The 17257-nt window shown below is 45.2% G+C and overlaps 1 protein-coding gene and 1 pseudogene across 14 annotated transcripts in view; one reads left to right on the top strand and one right to left on the bottom strand.

Annotated features, from left to right (window-relative positions):
• NTAQ1 (N-terminal glutamine amidase 1) overlaps positions 1–17257 on the bottom strand; it is a 58972-nt gene that overhangs the window by 19005 nt on the left and 22710 nt on the right. For 10 of the 14 annotated variants that reach the window (XR_007060742.1, XR_002956636.2, XR_002956635.2 and 7 more), the window contains exons 6-7: positions 15195–15386; positions 8468–8645 (exon numbers count right to left, since the gene is read on the bottom strand). Coding sequence is in view for 3 of the 14 variants with exons in the window: in NM_001283027.1 (NP_001269956.1) it covers positions 15277–15386 (110 nt within the window). In the remaining 11 variants the exon portion in view is untranslated. Of the gene's footprint in view, positions 1–8467; positions 8646–14451; positions 15387–17257 lie in introns of those variants that run through there. The other 4 variants (NM_001283027.1, NM_001283024.1, NM_018024.3 and 1 more) reach the window with 2 other exon arrangements.
• On the top strand, positions 1585–1711 carry LOC124902105 (uncharacterized; annotated as a pseudogene).

Genomic DNA, 17257 nt, shown 5'->3' with positions numbered 1-17257 from the left:
TCTCATTTAAGTGACAGTTCTTGTTAAAAATATATAAAGCATAACTATCTCTTGTTTCCCCTGAGGCAATCATGTAAAACAACTCCTGACGGTGCCTTCGATACTTGGGGAAGTGCCCAAACATATACTTTATTCTGGTGTAATTCCTGTAAGGATTAATATTGCTCAGAACTGACAGGAATTATTAGTTCCCGCAATGAGGTAATTACAGAATCAAGTTCAGCCACACTTTTTTGACTTTGTTTACTTTAAAATGCCTGCTGCCTTAGATATTTAAGATGTGCATCTTGGGTTCCAAGTTTCGAAACAAAAATCCCTGCAGAGGCGGAGGCTGCAGTGAGCCAAGATCGTGCACACCAGCCTGAGCGACAGAGCAAGACTCTGTCTCAAAATAACAACAACAACAAAAATCCTTGCAATATATAAGTTCTCTCAATATTCAAAAGCATAAGGAACAAGCTGGATGATCATTAACAAAGGGTTTATCCAGAAATACAACAACCGTCAGATTATAGGAACCTCTGCAATGCAATGTCATGACCACTGGGGTTTGGCATTGGAGATGCAAGAACCTAAATATCACCCTTTTTGGGGAGGGCCACTAACTTGAGCCCTGTCATAAGGATCAGACCTAAAAAGATGCTCTTAAAATCCAGAGATTGGAGAAAGTCAATATTCCCCCACCTGACCAGATGCCTAAATCAAGAGTATTAGCACATTTTACAACCAAACATGAATGGGCTGAGATACAGTTCCTGACCTCTCTTGCCACTTTCTGTAATTAGCCACACCAGCCACCACTTTGGAAAGGTGCTAAAGTTTACCCACTTACTAAAAACAGCCTAATTACACTTAAAATTAGCAATATACCTAAATCCATATTTCATGATACATGGTCCCAGAACACCTGCAGTAGACTTCCGGGTGGGGAAGTGGGAGTGAGTCTGGCTATTAAAATGCTGATTTCGGCTGGGCGCGGTGGCTCATGCCTGTAATCTCAGCACTTTAGGAGGCCAAGGAGGGTGGATTGCCTGAGCTCAGGGGTTCCAGACCAGCCTGGGCAACATGGTGAAACGCTGTTTCTACTAAAATTACAAAAATTAGCCAGGCGTGGTGGCACACGCCTGTAGTCTCAGCTACTCAGGAAGCTGAGGCAGAGAATCGCTTGAACCCAGGAGGCGACGGTTGTAATGAGCCAAGATTGCACCACTGCACTCCAGCCAGGCGAGAGTGGGAGACTCCGTCTCAAAAAAAAAAAAAAAAAAAAAAATTTCTGGGCATGGGGTTTGAGGATATTGGTAACACAAGTGGTTGCTCACTACAGGTCCTCGCTGGAAACAGCACTAAAGAACCAGGATGTGGACTGACTCCTCTGTGCAAGTCACCGACAGTGCCCATGTTTATACTGTAGGCCCACGAACCAAGCAGCCATGGCGGCAGGGACGGAGGTGTGCATGGACTCAATCACCATCTTTCCCTCACCAGAGCTGACTCAGCTGCCTTCTCTGCTGAAGCCCTAAGTGGAGACCAAGGCTGAGCTATGGCATCTTAATTATGAGGCATCCCTTCCAAAAGGGAAGACAGAGCTTTGCGTGTGGCAGTATCATAGCCAATGAGGTTTATCCGAGGCGTGATTATTGCTAATTGAAAACAAAATGGAAGACAGGTGACTTTTCCCCTCCCTTGAATAAACACTTCTTCCACACATGGATTTCCTTTTCCTAATCACCATGCTTCTGCCAGCAACTTACCAACTCAATGAATGCCTCATCCACTGCCACAACGCCAGACACCCACATTGCTTCTGATCACAAATCCATTCACAGCAAAAGAAATGGGTCCATATGCTGGTACCCCCCAGATGCTCTGATCTTACCGTGGTCCCCAGGGGTAGGTGATCTTCTTGATGGTAGAATGAATGGCCCATTGGAGACTGAGCTACAGTATCCGCTGGCAGACACCACCTGGTGACACTGGGGTTCTGTCCCATAAGATGTAGTAGATGCTCTGAACCAGTGACAGTACTGCCAGAGTTCACAGGTCTGGGCACCAAGGCTAGAAGTGAGTGCATCTCCGACTGCTACACCTGAGGTCAGGCGTTTGAGACCAGCCCGACCAACATGGAGAAACCCCGTCTTTACTAAAAATACAAAAAAATTAGCCAGGCATAGTGGCGCATGCCTGTAATCCCAGCTACTCGGGAGGCTGGGGCAGGAGAATTGCTTGAACCTGGGAGGTGGAGTTGTGGTGAGCTGAGATCGCACCATTGCACTCCAGCCTGGGCAACCACAGTGAAACTCCCTCTCAAAAAAAACAAAACAAAACAAAACAAAAAACAAAATTGCATCCATTTATTATCAAGGGAGCAATTATAGCAGAACTTCACTATGAATGACTGTTTCTCTAGATGTTTGTTTCCCGTCTCCATCACTTTGAATCAAATGCCTTTTGGATTCACGTAGCAAGCAATTTCTGTTCTCTGCCGCTGAGACCTGACTGGGATGCTTACTAAACCAGAACCACTCAGGGAGGTTCTGGACATTTGCCTTTTTAACAAGTTTGACATTTATTGATAAAGTTTATTTGCAGTAACTACAGGGTAAGTTACTTCAGGTGGACAGCTGTGAAGGACACTTCATCCCGACCATGGGGAAGCTCAGTGACCCACTCCTGCCCTACAACAGACAGCACCTTGCTAGTGACCCATTATCTGATTACAGAATGTGGGCATGAACTTGGAACTGGGTGAACTGGGAATTGGATGGCAGCCAGGCCCTGGAGTGGGAATGCCTAGATTCAAATCCTGTCTCCACCACTCACTAGCTATGTGGCTTTCTATAAGTCACTTTACTTTACTGTGCCTACGTTTCCTAATTTGTAACATGAGGAGAATAATGGTATCTACCTTATATTGTTGTTTTGAGGATTGAGTTCATACACATGAAGAGCTTAGATGAGCTATCTGGGGCCAGGCACGATGACTCACACCTGTAATCCCAGCACTTTGGGAGGCCAAAGCAGGCAGATCACCTGAGGTCAGGAATTCGAGAGCAGCCTGGCCAACATGGTGAACCCGTCTCTACTAAAAATATAAAATTAGCCAGGCATGGTGGCAGGTGTCTATAGTCCCAGCTACTCAGGAGGCTGAGGCAGGAAAATCACTTGAACCTGAGAGGCAGAGGTTGCAGTGAGCTGAGATCGTGCCACTGCACTCCAGCCTAGGTGACAAGAGCAAAACTCTGTTCCAAAAAAGAAAAAAAAAAAAAGCAACAAAACACTTCACCTTTCGGTGTATGAAATATTCTCTTCCCTGCCAACACACACACAATCTCATTTGAGCCTCAAAATAATTCTTAGGTGAGGCAAGGAAGGCCCAGAGAGGTTAAGTGACTTTCCCAAGGTCACACAGTATGTCACTAGCAAATGCAAAACTGTAACGGGGGCCAAGGACTTGAACTTATTTTTCCTGTATTCCAGGGGCAGGGACAAGATCTCCTCAGCATCTGGCCCCAAGGAGGTCAAACATAGCTCTGCATCCTGTGGGCCTTGAGTGGGAACTGATTCAACCGTCACTTACGGCTGCAGAAACAGCGTGTGCCAGAACGGTGTGACTGTATTAACATCTTGCCCCACAATTTCCTTCCAATGTTCTTCCCAGAAATTGCTCTAAAACTCCAGGTCCCCATGGAAACCTCAGGAGAGATTGCCTATTGACTCTAAGTGAAGTTCTGCTATGAGTGCTCCCTTGATAATAAATGGATGCAATTTTGTTTTTTGTTTTGTTTTGTTTTGTTTTTTTTGAGAGGGAGTTTCGCTCTGGTTGCCCAGGCTGGAGTGCAATGGTGCGATCTCCACCTCCCGGGTTCAAGCAATTCTCCTGCCTCAGCCTCCCGAGTAGCTGGGATTACAGGCATGCGCCACTATGCCTGGCTATTTTTTTTTTTGTATTTTTAGTAAAGACGGGGTTTCTCCATGTTGGTCGGGCTGGTCTCAAATGCCTGACCTCAGGTGATCCGCCCGCCTAGGCCTCCCAAAGTGTTGGGATTACAGGCATGAGCCACCGTGCCCAGCCTTTTAAAATTTTATTTTTGTGTGTGGAGACCGAGTCTTGCTGTCACCCAGGCTGGAGTGCAATGGCTCGATCTTAGCTCACTGCAACCTCTGCCTCCTGGGTTCAAGAGATCCTCCTGCCTCAGCCTCCCAAGTAGCTGGGATTACAGGCATCTGCCATCATGCCCAGCTAATTTTCATATTTTTAGTAGAGACAGGGTTTCATCATGTTGGCCAGGCTGGTCTTGAACTCCTGACCTTAAGTGATCCACCGGCGTTGGCCTCCCAAAGTGCTAGGATTACAGGTGTGAGCCACTGTGCCTGACCAATAAATGGATGTTATTAAAAGCCTGGCCTGAACAGATACCTGCTGTAAAGCTCAGGGCCAAAGCCACATTCTCCCTGGACTGCCAGGGTAAAAGACATAGTTCATTCTCTGGTGCTAGGCTGAGTGGTCAGCTTGGAGCAAAGGGGAAAAGTATACTGTGAGCTCCTGCTCTCAATATCAGACACTAGACATGGTGCTTTCCATATCTGCGTTTGTGACAAGAGGCTGGAATGAGGTGCCTGCCAAGAATGTGAGAGAACTAATTAAATAAATCCATGGTGTTCTTTGCTCTCTGCAAAAGTCATTCATAACGTGCTTTTCACACCAAAAGGTGGAAGAGTAGGGCTTGGAGTTAAGGCTGAAGGGACTGCAGACAAAACCGGTTTGAAAAAGGACAAGATCATCTAAAAAAGGAATAGAATCTAGTCAACGGGAATAATTCAAAGCACAAGACTTTAGCAGCAGTTTTCTAGCATTATCCTGAGATCCAGTGGAGTGGCGGACTTGATGTTCCAGACCCCTTTGGTGACAGGAGTTGTTCCTTTATTGAATGCTTGAGGAATATTTGTTGAGTGCTTACTATAAGGTATCAGATACCAAGACACTGTATTACAGTGGAGAATAAGGCAGGGAGGACTCACAGTCCAATGGAGGGAGATAGAAAACAGACTTTTAGACCAGGTGTGGTGGCTCGTGCCTGTAATCCCAGCATTTTGGGAGGCTGAAGTGGGCGGACCAATTGAAGTCAAGAGTTCGAGACCAGACTGGCCAACATGATGAAACTCTGTCTCTAATAAAAATACAAAAATTAGCCAGGTGTGGTGGCACATGCCTATAATCCCAGCTACTTGGGAGGCTGAGGCAGGAGAATCCCTTGAATCCAGGAGGCGGAGGCTGCAGTTAGTCAAGATCACGCCACTGCACCCCAGCCTGGGTGACCGAGTGAGACTCCATCTTAATTTAAAAAAAAGGAAAACAGACTTTTAAACAAATAAGTGTGCAAGATCATTTCAGTTAGTGATAACTGCTATGAAGAAAAAAGGGTACTGTCATGTTGACTGGGGCAGTCAGCTCTAGATACGTCACCAGGGAAGAATTACCAGACTCGGAGCTCAGACCTCAATGTCAGGCAGTGTCAGCCAACAGAAGATAAGGGAGAAAAAAAGGGTCAGATCAGGGTAAACAGAATGTGAGGTCCCTGAGGAAGGAATGAGCTTGTCCTGCTCACCAAAAGAAACCTAACGGGGGAAGCAGGACAGGGAATGGGCCAGCAGTAGCAGAGCTGAAATCACAGAGACAGCCGTAATCCAGACCACACAGGGCCTGAGAGCCAGGGTAGAACAGTATATTTAGCTTAAGGACATGCTGAGGCCATTGCAAAGTGGTGGTGGTTTGTTGTTGTTTGAAAACGGGAATGAGATAGTCTGGTTTTTAACAGATCACTCTGTATGAAGGAGACATGAAGCAGAAAGAAAAAATAAAGATCACTTTGGCTGCTTTGTGAAGAAAACACTGCAAAGTGGGAAGAGGTCAAGGAAAAAAAGCAAAGAGTTATTGGAGTGGTGCCTGAGGCTTCCCCATGACCTGGATGAAATATCCCTGAAAGTTATCCAGCTTTCTTTCCTCTCTGTCAATGCTGAAGAAGGGCTGCATGAACCAAGGGATGGATCGAGTCAAAGGGAGCGTCCTACAGAGTGAGAACTGAGGAGTGTTTGCCCTGCTTCAGAGACAGTGGCCCTGGAGGACAGACAGGTTTTGATGTCATGAGAGGTCTCCTTGGAGGGGCAGAAATGGGTAATTCGTTCTTCAAAATGGAAGAATCAGCTGACAACCTGGCAAACAGCAGTCTCCCCTGCTGACCCACATCCTCCTGCAGTACCACCCCCTTTCTCTGCCCCCTTCCCAAACCACTCTACTTCCTTCCTCCTGTTCCCTCCTGAACCTACTGAAATTAGGCTGTCATCCCCATCACTCCACTGAAATTGCCCACAGACCTCCACAGTGCCAAAACCAACGGTCATCCCAGTCCTCAACTTACTCAACTGATCAGCAACATCTGACAGAGCTGATCCCTCTCCCCTTCTAATACCACTTTCTCCTTTGGGCATCCTTGTTTTCTCCTCCTTCCTCCATGACCATTCCATCTGTCTTCCCATCTCCTAAGCCCTAAATAAAAGCTCCCTAGGCTAGGTCCCTGGACCTTTCCTCTATCCACACACATTCTCTCAATGATATCATAGAGGCCTGTATCTTTAAATGTCATCTATTAACAGATGTCTCCCAATTTGATATTCCTATCCTACATCTCTCCACTTGACTCTGGGACCCCTTTATCCAGCATATATATATATATATATATATATGCACACACACACACACACACATATATATATACACACACATATATACATATGGAGAGATAGAGAGAGAGAGAGAGAGAGAGAGAGAGAGAGAAAGCAGCGAGCCAGAGTCTCACTCTGTCGCCCAGGCTGGAGTGCAGTGATGTGATCTCAGGCTCACTACAACCTCCGCCTACCACACCCGGCTACCAACTCCTATTTGACAGCTCCTGTTAGACATCCAACTGGCACCTCAAATTTAACATGCCCCCAGTAAAACTCCTGATCTTCCTCCCCAAAATTACTCCACCCACAATCTTCCCCAACTCAGTAAATAGCAACCAATCTTCCACACATTGTAGAAGTTCATTGTCTGTCTTCTCCACAAGAATGTAATATCCATGAGCGCAGGACTCACTGCTGAATCACCAGGGCAGTGATACAGCAACAGTAGAGGTCTTGAACTCCTGGCCTCAAGTGATCTGCCCACTTCAGCCTCCCAAAGTGCTGGGATTATAGGCATGAGCCACCACACGCAGCCCTCCAGCTCTTTTAAATAAGCATCCTCCATGAAGAATTTCTGCAAATCATCAAGCTGTTAATTGCTATATGCTGAATGTACACAAGCCCCTACCAGTCTGAGAGTCCTGTGTAAATCATTTTCTCTTTCAAATCCTGATGAAAAAGGGACTCAAAGAGAATCCAAACCACAGCCTGCAGGCTTCCTCATGCTTCTGCTTCACTACTGAGCCAGCCACTGGTCATGGTGTGTACTGCTGTCAACCACCAAAATACCAGACTCAGTCAGAACACTGCTGTCCACTGTTCTACGGAAAATCAGCAGCTACCTCCAAGGCTCCCACAGAGCCACATGGGGCCCCCAGTGACACAGTTCTTTCTTTCCTTCCCAGGAGACAGGGCTTTCAAGAGAGTAAGAGAGTACAGGTAAGGGTGCACCGTGGCACATCTCTCATGGCACCTGCCATCAAGGAACACTCTAATGTATAATCATCTAGTCTGGTCCTCTCAGCCAGATGTCATCTTCACTTACATTGATTTTCTCTCAGGGACCTGTTCATGTTTTTCTCTCCTCTAGCAAAGACATCTTTGAGGACCTCTAGCCCACGGGACAAGCCTATAAACGTCTGAACCCTAAATGAGAACACAGACCATTTGGCTTCTTTCCCACAAGGCTCCTGAACCTCATGCAAAACAACAGGACTGGATAGACGTCTGTGTTCAGGGTTTGTGAACATTCTGGGAAGGGCAGTAATTCCACAAAAACTGTGGGACACTAAGGGGGCAGTCTGCGCAAGGACACAGAGGCTTACACCACAAATTCTTCTTATTCTTTTTCGACGGAGTCTCACTCTTGTCGCCCAGGCTGGAGTGCAGTGGTGCAATCTTGGCTCACTGCAACCTCCACCTCCCGGGTTCAAGCAATATCTCAAGTGATACTCAAGCCTCCCGAGTAACTGGGATTACAGGCATGCGCCACCATACCTGGCTAATTTTTGTATTTTGGGGAGAGATGGGGTTTCACCCTGTTGGCCAGGCTGGTCTCGAACTCCTGACCTCAAGTGATCCACCCGCCTTGGCCTTCCAAAGTGCTGGGATTACAGGCGTGAGCCACCGTACCCGGCCTGGAACACCACAAATTCTTATTTCTGACCCAGCTAAAAATATCGTTACATGCTTGAATGGGCACTGAATTATTTAGGGAGGACTAAATGGCCAAATCAAAACTCACCAAGAATTCTGTGACTTAAAAAATACATAAGTTTGTCTCCTATGAAAGAGTTCCACAATATACTATTTAGGCAGGCATGCAACTCGGCTCCATAGAGTTATCAGGAATCCAGGCTGATGGTGGCTCTTCTGCCTTTGATAAGTAGCTTCCGAGGTCACTCCAGTCATCACCATTTCATCTGGTAAGAAAGTAGGCAAAGGTGTGAAGGAGTGGGCACGAGTTTCACAGGTCAGTCATGTAAGTGGCACACACACTTCCTCTTATATTCAGCTGGTCACATGGCCACACTGGCTGCAAAGGAGAATGGGAAATGTAGTCCATGGCAGAGCAGCCACACACCAGTCACAGCTCTGTTGCTGTAGAACAAGGGACAGCAAACTACAGCCCAAGGGCCAAATCTACCAGCTCTTGGTTTTGCAGAGTTGTTTTTTGTTTTTTGTTATTTTTTTCTGCCATATACAAACATATTTTTATATGAAATTATATAAAATACAGAAAGAGGCACAATGAATGTATGCAGTTAGAAAGCAGGATGGTGGTTACCCTTAGCGAGTAAGGAGGTGATCAGAAAGCAGCAGGAAGCTTCTCAGGTGCTTTTTTTCCTTAATTTGAATCCTGGCTCTACTACTTACTGGCTAGTGACTTGGTGAGCTATATGAAAACCTCTCTCTGCATCAGTTTCCTCATCTGTAAAATAGGGATTAAAAATAGTGCCAACCCCATCAGATTGTCAGAAAATTGCCTGGCATACAATGACTTCTAGATAATACACAATGAGCTCTATTAGTTAGTTTCTCTAGACAGTTATATTCTTAAAACCAGGGTGATTATCAAAAAGGACATTAGATTTATCCATCACATTGTGTATTTTTTAAAAAAGAACACGTTCATATATTAATTATAAATAAAAGTTAACCTTGTAATATGAACATTAAGCAAAAGACAAGCACTGCTCTTTAGTTGTATGTGCATCTGAGCCTAAGATTAGGTTTTATTATAAATATGTAAGTATAATTTTTTTTAATAGTAAGCAACTCAAGCCTAGCAAAAATACTACTTCTATTGCTACTCAGTGAAAAAGCATATTTATATATTTAAAAAGTACAAGGACACCTAGACAGAAAAGTAAACTTAGAATGAGGTTTCTGATAATGAAGGTTATTGTTCTTCCTCTCTATAGATAGACAGACAGAATATTCAAGCAGACAATGAACAGGGCACAGATGATAACAGAACCCTGACCCCCAGCTCGGCGGCAATCAGCATGGAGAGATCAGGACGTGGTCAAAACTTGCAGGCTTCCCCCATGTTGTTGTTGTTCTTACTTTCAACATGGAACCAGACAGAGAAAACCAAACATACTCCTCCAACCAATCACTTAGGATGTCCAGCTTCTAGTTGGAAAAAGAAATCCATGTTTTTCCTTAACTTCCTAAGTTCATAGTTGGAGCAGAGTCTGTTGCGGAGGCTGTAAGTCCAAGATCAGGGCTGAGCAGATTATGTTGTCTGGTGAGGACTTGGTCTCTGCTTTGAAGATGGCACTGATACGGCTCCGATGAGTGGAGGAGCACCAGGGCTCGTCTTGCGCGAATTGGATAAAACAACACAGACACAGTTGGAGTGGTTTTAAGGAGCAGAGTGTTTAAAAGGCAAGAAAGAAGAGAGAAGAAAGAAGGAAAAAGCTCTCCAGAGGGAGGAGGGCTCCAAAGACAAGAAAGGAGACCCAGGTTTTGCAAAGTTTTATTGGAGCTCAGCCACACCTATTCATTTACATATTGTCTGTGGCTGCTGTTTTCGGCTACAAAGGCAGAGTTGAGTAGTTGTGGCAGAGGCCTTATGGCCTGCAAAGTCTAACATTTACTGTTTGGCCATTTACAGAAAACATTTGCCAACTCCTGCTCTAGAAAAAGAAGAGAATGGGCCAGTTGCAGTGGCTGATGCCTGTAATCCCAGCACTTTGGGAGGCTGAGGTGGGGGGAATCACTTGAGGCCAGAGTTTGAGACCAGCCTGGCCAACATGGTGAACCTCTGTCTCTACTATAATAAAAACACACACACACACAAAATTAGCCAGGTGTGGTAGCGCACCTGTAATCCCAGCTACTCAGGAGGCTGAGGCACGAGAATCGCTTGAACCTGGGAGGCGGAGGTTGCAGTGAGCTGAGATCGTGCCATTGCACTCCAGTCTGGGTGACAGAGTGAGACTCTGTCTGGAAAAAAAGAAAGGAAAGGAAAGGAAAAAGGAAAAAGGAAAAGGAAAGAAAAGAGAATGGATTTGGTGGGACAACCAGCAGCCTATGGTTTCAAAATTCATCTTGGGGGTGGGTGAGGTGGCTCACGCCTGTAATCCCAGCACTTTGGGAGGCTGAGGCAGGCGGATCTCTTGAGGCCAGGAGTTCGAGACCAGCCTGGCCAACATGGTGAAACCCTGTCTCTATTAAAAATACAAAAATTAGCCAAGTGTGGTGGTGCACGCCTGTAATCCCAGCTAATGCGGAGGCTGAGGCAGGAGAATCACTTCAACCCGGGAGGCGGAGGCTACAATGAGCTGAGATCACAACACTGCACTCCAACCTGGGCAACAGAGTGCGACTCTGTCTCAAAAAACAAAAAACTTAAAAAATTTTTAAAAATTCACCTTGGAAATTTTTATGAAGACACATAAACAAAAACATTTATTGTAGCATTTTTTTTGGCACACCAAGAAGCAAAAAACAACTTATAAAGGACTGTTAAATTATGGACCATATGTATCGCAGAATACAATGTAGCCTTTAAAAATAATGTAGATATTTTCTCATTCTTGTTGATTTTCCAATCAATATGTACTGACTAGAAAACATCCAAATATATTAACTTTAAAAAGTAAAATGTATTTTTCTTTGTTTAGTGAAGGGAAAAAAGTAAAATACAGAACAATATGTTTAGGATGCTACCATTTGTCGGGGGGGTGGGGAAACAAAATTTAATATATAATACATACCTATATGTTTACATAGAAAATTCCTGGAAAGAAGGATACAAAATAACCTGAAAAAGAGGTTATTTCTGGGTGGGAACATCAGAAAATTGGAGGACAAAGCAGGAGGGAAGTTTACTTTTCACCAAATACTCTTTTATACATTTTGAATTGGTACAATGTACATGGTACCATCTATTTTTTAATTAATTAAAAATTAAACCAAGAAAAACACACAAAAAGGTTTGCATTTACTACCATTGCTAACCAACTCCTCTTCTGAAAGACATAATTTCCTTAAAAGCTCCAATAATATCTTCAATCAGGGATAGCCAGTTCTACTGAGCTGGGAACCATTTTATATTTTCATATTTGCTTCCCAACTCCTTGGTGTGTCAGGTTCTCAGAGATACTCTGTTTCTGTTGCTTTCATAGTCAGTTTACAAATTCTGCTTTAGGCTGGGCACCGTGGCTCACGCCTGTAATCCCAGCACTTTGGGAGGTCGAGGCAAGTGGATCACGAGGGCAGAAGATAGAGACCATCCTGGCTAACACGGTGAAACCCCGTCTCCACTAAAAATATAAAAAGAAATTAGCTGGGCGTAGTGGTGGGCACCTGTGGTCCCAGCTACTCAGGAGGCTGAGGCAGGAGAATGGCGTGAACCCGGGAGGCAGAGCTTGCAGTGAGCCAAGATCATGCCACTGCACTCCAGCCTGGGCGATAGAGCGAGACTCCCTCTCAAAAAGAAAATTTTTTGCTTTAGTCAGCCAGGCACTATGGTTCATACCTGTAATCCCAGCATTTTGGGAGGCCAAAGTGGGTGGATTACTTGAGGTCAGGAGTTCGAGACTAGCCTGGCCAACATGGTAAAATCCCATCTCTACTAAAAATACAAAAATTAGCCAGGTGTAGCGGCGCATGCCTGTAATCCCAGAAACTCAGGAAGCGGAGGCAGGAGAGTCACTTAAATCTGGGAGGTGGAAGTTGCAGTGAGCCAAGATTGTGCCACTGCACTCTAGCCTGGGAAACAGAGCAAGACGGCATCTCAAACAAAAAGAAGCAAACAAACAAAATTCTACTTTAGTCCCCTGCTTTTCTTGAAATATCTTCTTTCCATACAGAAAATCTTCTCACACATGTTGAATATTAAGAGAAAGAAATCTGACCTCAAAAGAAAAATTGTCTTAGTTTGGGTTCAAAAAAAAAAAAGAAAAAGTTTAAATAGAAAAATTAAGCACAGAGAGACATAAATAACAGTTCCTAAGCCCGATAAACAACTCTGAAGAAAAATCTTGTAAGAAAACCTATCTTTCAGTTAAAAATGACAGAAATCCAGCTCGCACAAGCTGAAGAGAAAAAGGAATCCACTGGCTCATAGAACCAGGAACCGCAGGCCAGGCGCAGTGGCTCACACCTGTAATCTCAGCACTTTCAGAGGCCGAGGTGGGCAGACTGCTTGAGTCCCGGAGTTCAAGACCAGCCTGAGCAATGTGGCAAAACCCCATCTCTACTAAAAATATAAAAATTAGCTGGGCACTGTGGCACGCCTGTAGTCCCAGCTACTCAGAAGGCTGAGGTGGGAGGATCGCTTGAGCCTGGGAGGTGGAGGTTGCAGTAAGCAGAGATCACACCAGTGCTCTCCAGCCTCGGTGACAGAGCAAGAGAGTCTCAAAAACAAAAAAGGTGGGCTTGGCTTCAAGCACAGATCAATCTGATACAGAGCAGGCAAGCCCCAAAGTAGGGCTGAGCCCATGAGACTTCTTGGCTTTGCCCAGGAAAGAATTCAAGGGCAAGCTGAAGGTAAAAGAAAACAGCTTTATTGAAGCGGTAGTGTTACAACCCTGTGACTGCTCCTGCAGAGCAGGTTTACCCTGTAGGCAGACAGGAGCAGCTCCGGGCAGTCTGGCAGCCACATTTATACCTACTTTTAATAACATGCAAATTTGGCCGGGTGCGGTGGCTCATGCCTGTAATCCCAGCACATTGGGAGGCGGAGCCAGGCAGATCACCTGAGGTCAGGAGTTTGATACCAGCCTAGTTAGCATGGCAAAACCCCGTCTCTATTAAAAATACAAAAATTAGCTGGGCATGGTGGTACACACCTGTAATCCCAGCTACTCGGGAGGCTGAGGCATGAGAATCGTTTGAACCTGGGAGGCAGAGGTTGCAGTGAGCCGAGATCATGCCACTGCACTCCAGCCTGGGCGACAGAGTGAGACTTTGTCTCAAAATAAATAAGTAAATAAAAATAACATGCAGATTAAAGGGCAGTTTATGCAGAAATTTCTAGGGAAGGGGGCCGGGCGCGGTGGCTCATGCCTGTAATCCCAGTACTTCGGGAGGCGAAAGTGGGCAGATCACCTGAGGTCAGGAGTTCAAGACCAGCCTGGCCAACGTGGTGAAACCACGTCTCTACTAAAATACAAAAATTCGCTGGGCATGGTGGCGCACACCTGTAATCCCAGCTACTCAGGAGGCTGAGGCACGAGAATCACTTGAACCTGGGAAGTGGAGGTTACAGTGAGCCGAGATCGTGCCGCTGCACTCCAGCCTGGGTGACAGAGCAAGACTCTGTCTCTAAATGAATAAATAAATGGTTACATTTGTACCCTCCATAAGGTGGAGGATTACCATTAAATGTCAGTTTCTTTTCTTTTTTTTTTTTTTTCTGAGATGGAGTCTTGCTCTGTCACCCAGGCTGGAGTGCAGCAGCATGATCTCAGCTCACTGCAACTTCCACCTCCCAGGTTCAAGCAATTCTGCCTCAGCCTCCCAAGTAGCTGGCATTACAGGCGCCCGCCACCACACCCAGCTAATTTTTATATTTTTAGTAGAGACAAGGTTTCACCACGTTGGCCAAGCTGGTCTCAAACTCCTGACCTCATGATCCGCCCACCTAGGACTCCCAAAGTGCTGAGATTACACGCATGAGCCACCATGCCCAGCTGATAGTTTCTTAATAAGTAGAAAGCTCATCTAAGAACAAAAGGTCAGACATCCTTGCTATAAGAAGTTGTTCATTTTTAAAGTAGAATCATGAAAACATGAGAGCTGGTACTATATGCCAATGTAATGCCAAATATCTTTCATTTGGAATGATATGATTAAAGCCAAATAACCAAGATGTCTTCCAGAAGGCACATGTAATAAATATTTTTTAAAGCCCTGGTTCTCATCTACAATTGAGGCATATTTAGGTATTTCAGATCATCAAGGGTGACACAAAAATCTTCAAAACAAAACTAACGTTAAATCGATTTTATTTAAAGCCATAAATAAATAAGCCAATTAACGCTCAAGTCTGAGAGGGCTGCAGTCTTTTTAACAATACCATAGTCCAAAAAGACTAATACTTATTGCTGATTCAGCTCACAATATTACCCCTTTCCAGACAACAGCACATTCAAATGTTCAAGAAAACATTTTATGGGCACCTTTTATGGGCATTTGAGATTCACAGAGCAATGGGCCATGGCCCTGCCCTCAAGGAACTTACAATGTAGCTGGAGAGACACAAAACATCCAAAACAGACATGAGGGGCTGGCTCTACCTCCACACCTCTATCTGAACAAAAACGATTACTGGCTTAAGTCCTCGTGTTGTAACGCATGAGCCACAGGAATATCTTAGCAAGTACGCACTTTATCAAGTTTCAATTTGACATGTCAAAACAAAAGTTTTTATGTTGTTCATTTATATTTGTATTCACTCAGATTTCCACTCAATCAAATTAAAAGAGAAAGACATAATTCCAAGCCAACTGTACCATAATGTTTGCTGTCCTCGATGAAAGGATAGCTTGTTCATGTCCTAGAATTTCTCCACAGTTCCACATCTTGAGACCAAGTTCAGCAGTTTTTACTGCCAAACCGATGTGTAAATTCGGATAGTGTGTAGACGGCGCCCCATCCTACCTTGGGATCCATACTGATGAAATCGTTCAGGTTCATTTTGGAATCTAAAAAAATATATGAAAAAAAAATGTCCACTGAAAACACAATTTTGGTTTAACAGCAATAAAACAATGCAGAAGACCAAAAGTAGGTAAAATTATTCAAATGGATAAGGGCTCAATGTCACTTCTGTGGTTTTCTGGCCTTGAATGTATAACTTCAATCCAATCATGACAAAACACACACACCCAAACTGAGGGAAACAGAATATCAGTGAAGAGGGGACTACACAGAGAGTCAGAGCTCCAAAGATCAGCAGAGGGGACCCCCGAGTCTTTGGCTAAGTACTGATCTTCTCTTCTATGGAACGAAACTTCATGAGGCCAGGGAAAGAAGCACCAAGAAGCGGTGGGTCTAATAATCCCCAGAACTTCCACAGGGCTAGAAATAATTCATGTCACCACCAGCCAGAGTGGAGAGAACTCGTAACATGCAGCGTTCAGTAGCGTCCTCAGAAGGGTCATGTCAGAGTAGGGGGGCTAAATTAGCCCTCGATGAAAGGCTGCTCTGAGCCAAGCATGTTGGCTCACACCTGTAATCCCAGCACTTTGGGAGGCCGAGGTGGGCAGATCACTTGAGGTCAGAAGTTAAGAGAACAGCCTGGCCAACATGGTGAAACCCCATCTCTACTAAAAATACAAAAATTAGCTGGGTATGGTGGCACACCTCTCTAATTCCAGCTACTTAGGAGGCTGAGACAGGAGAATTGCTTGAACCTGGGAGTTGGAGGGTGTAATGAGCCAAGATCACGCCACTTCACTCCAGCCTGGGCAACAGAGCAAGGCTTTGTCTAAAAAAAAAAAAAAAAGAAGAAAGGAACGCTACTCTCAACCTTTACTCAGAAAGACGAAAAGCAGCCAGGCGTGGTGGCTCACGCCTATAATCCCAGCACTTTGGGAAGCTAAGAGGGGTGGATCACTTGAGGTCAGGAGTTCGAGACCAGCCTGGCCAACGTGGTGAAACCCCGTCTCTACTAAAAATACAAAAACTAGCCAGGTGTGGTAGTGGGTGCCTAGAATCCAAGCTACTTGGGAGGCTGAGGCAGGAGAATCGCTTGAATCCAGGAGGCAGAGGTTGTAGCAAGCCAAGATTGTGCCACTGCACTCCAGCCTGGGCAATAGAGCAAGACTCCGTCTCAAAAAAAAAAAAAAAAAAAAAAAAAAAGGAGTTAATCCTGGCCAGCGTGGTGGCTCATGCCTATAATCTCAGTATTTTGGGAGGCCAAGGTAGGAGCAATATACTGAGACCCTACCTTGATTAAAAAAAAAAAAGAGTCAATTCCATAACTAAATCCAACATACCCAATAATGCATGTATCTAAAACATGCATTAATTTAAAGTCTGTTTTCTTTTTTTTGAGACAGAGTCTCCCTCTGTCACCCAGGCTAGAGTGCAGTGGTGCAATTTTGGCTCATTGCGACCTCCACCTCCCAGATTCAAGCAATTCTCCTGCCTCAGCCTCCTGAGTAGCTGGGATTACAGGCGTGCACCACCACGCCTGGCTAATTTTTGGTTAATATGGGCCAGGCACAGTGGCTCACCCCTGTAATCCCAGCACTTTGGGAGGCCAAGGCAGAAGGATCACCTGAGGCCAAGAGTTCAAGACCAGCCTAGCCCACATGGCAAAACCTCATGTCTACTAAAAATATAAAAACTAACCAGGTGTGGCCGGCGCGGTGGCTCACGCCTGTAATCCCAGCACTTTGGGAGGCCGAGGCGGGCAGATCACGAGGTCAGGAGATCGAGACCATCCTGGCTAACACGGTAAGACCCCATCTCTACTAAAAATACAAAAAAAAAATTAGCCGGGTGTGGTGGCGGGCGCCTGTAGTCCCAGCTACTCAGGAGGCTGAGGCAGGAGAATGGCATGAACCCG

This window comes from Homo sapiens, chromosome 8 (assembly GCF_000001405.40).
Source record: "Homo sapiens chromosome 8, GRCh38.p14 Primary Assembly".
NCBI lineage: Eukaryota > Metazoa > Chordata > Mammalia > Primates > Hominidae > Homo > Homo sapiens.
This window is presented reverse-complemented; position numbering and strand designations above follow the sequence as displayed.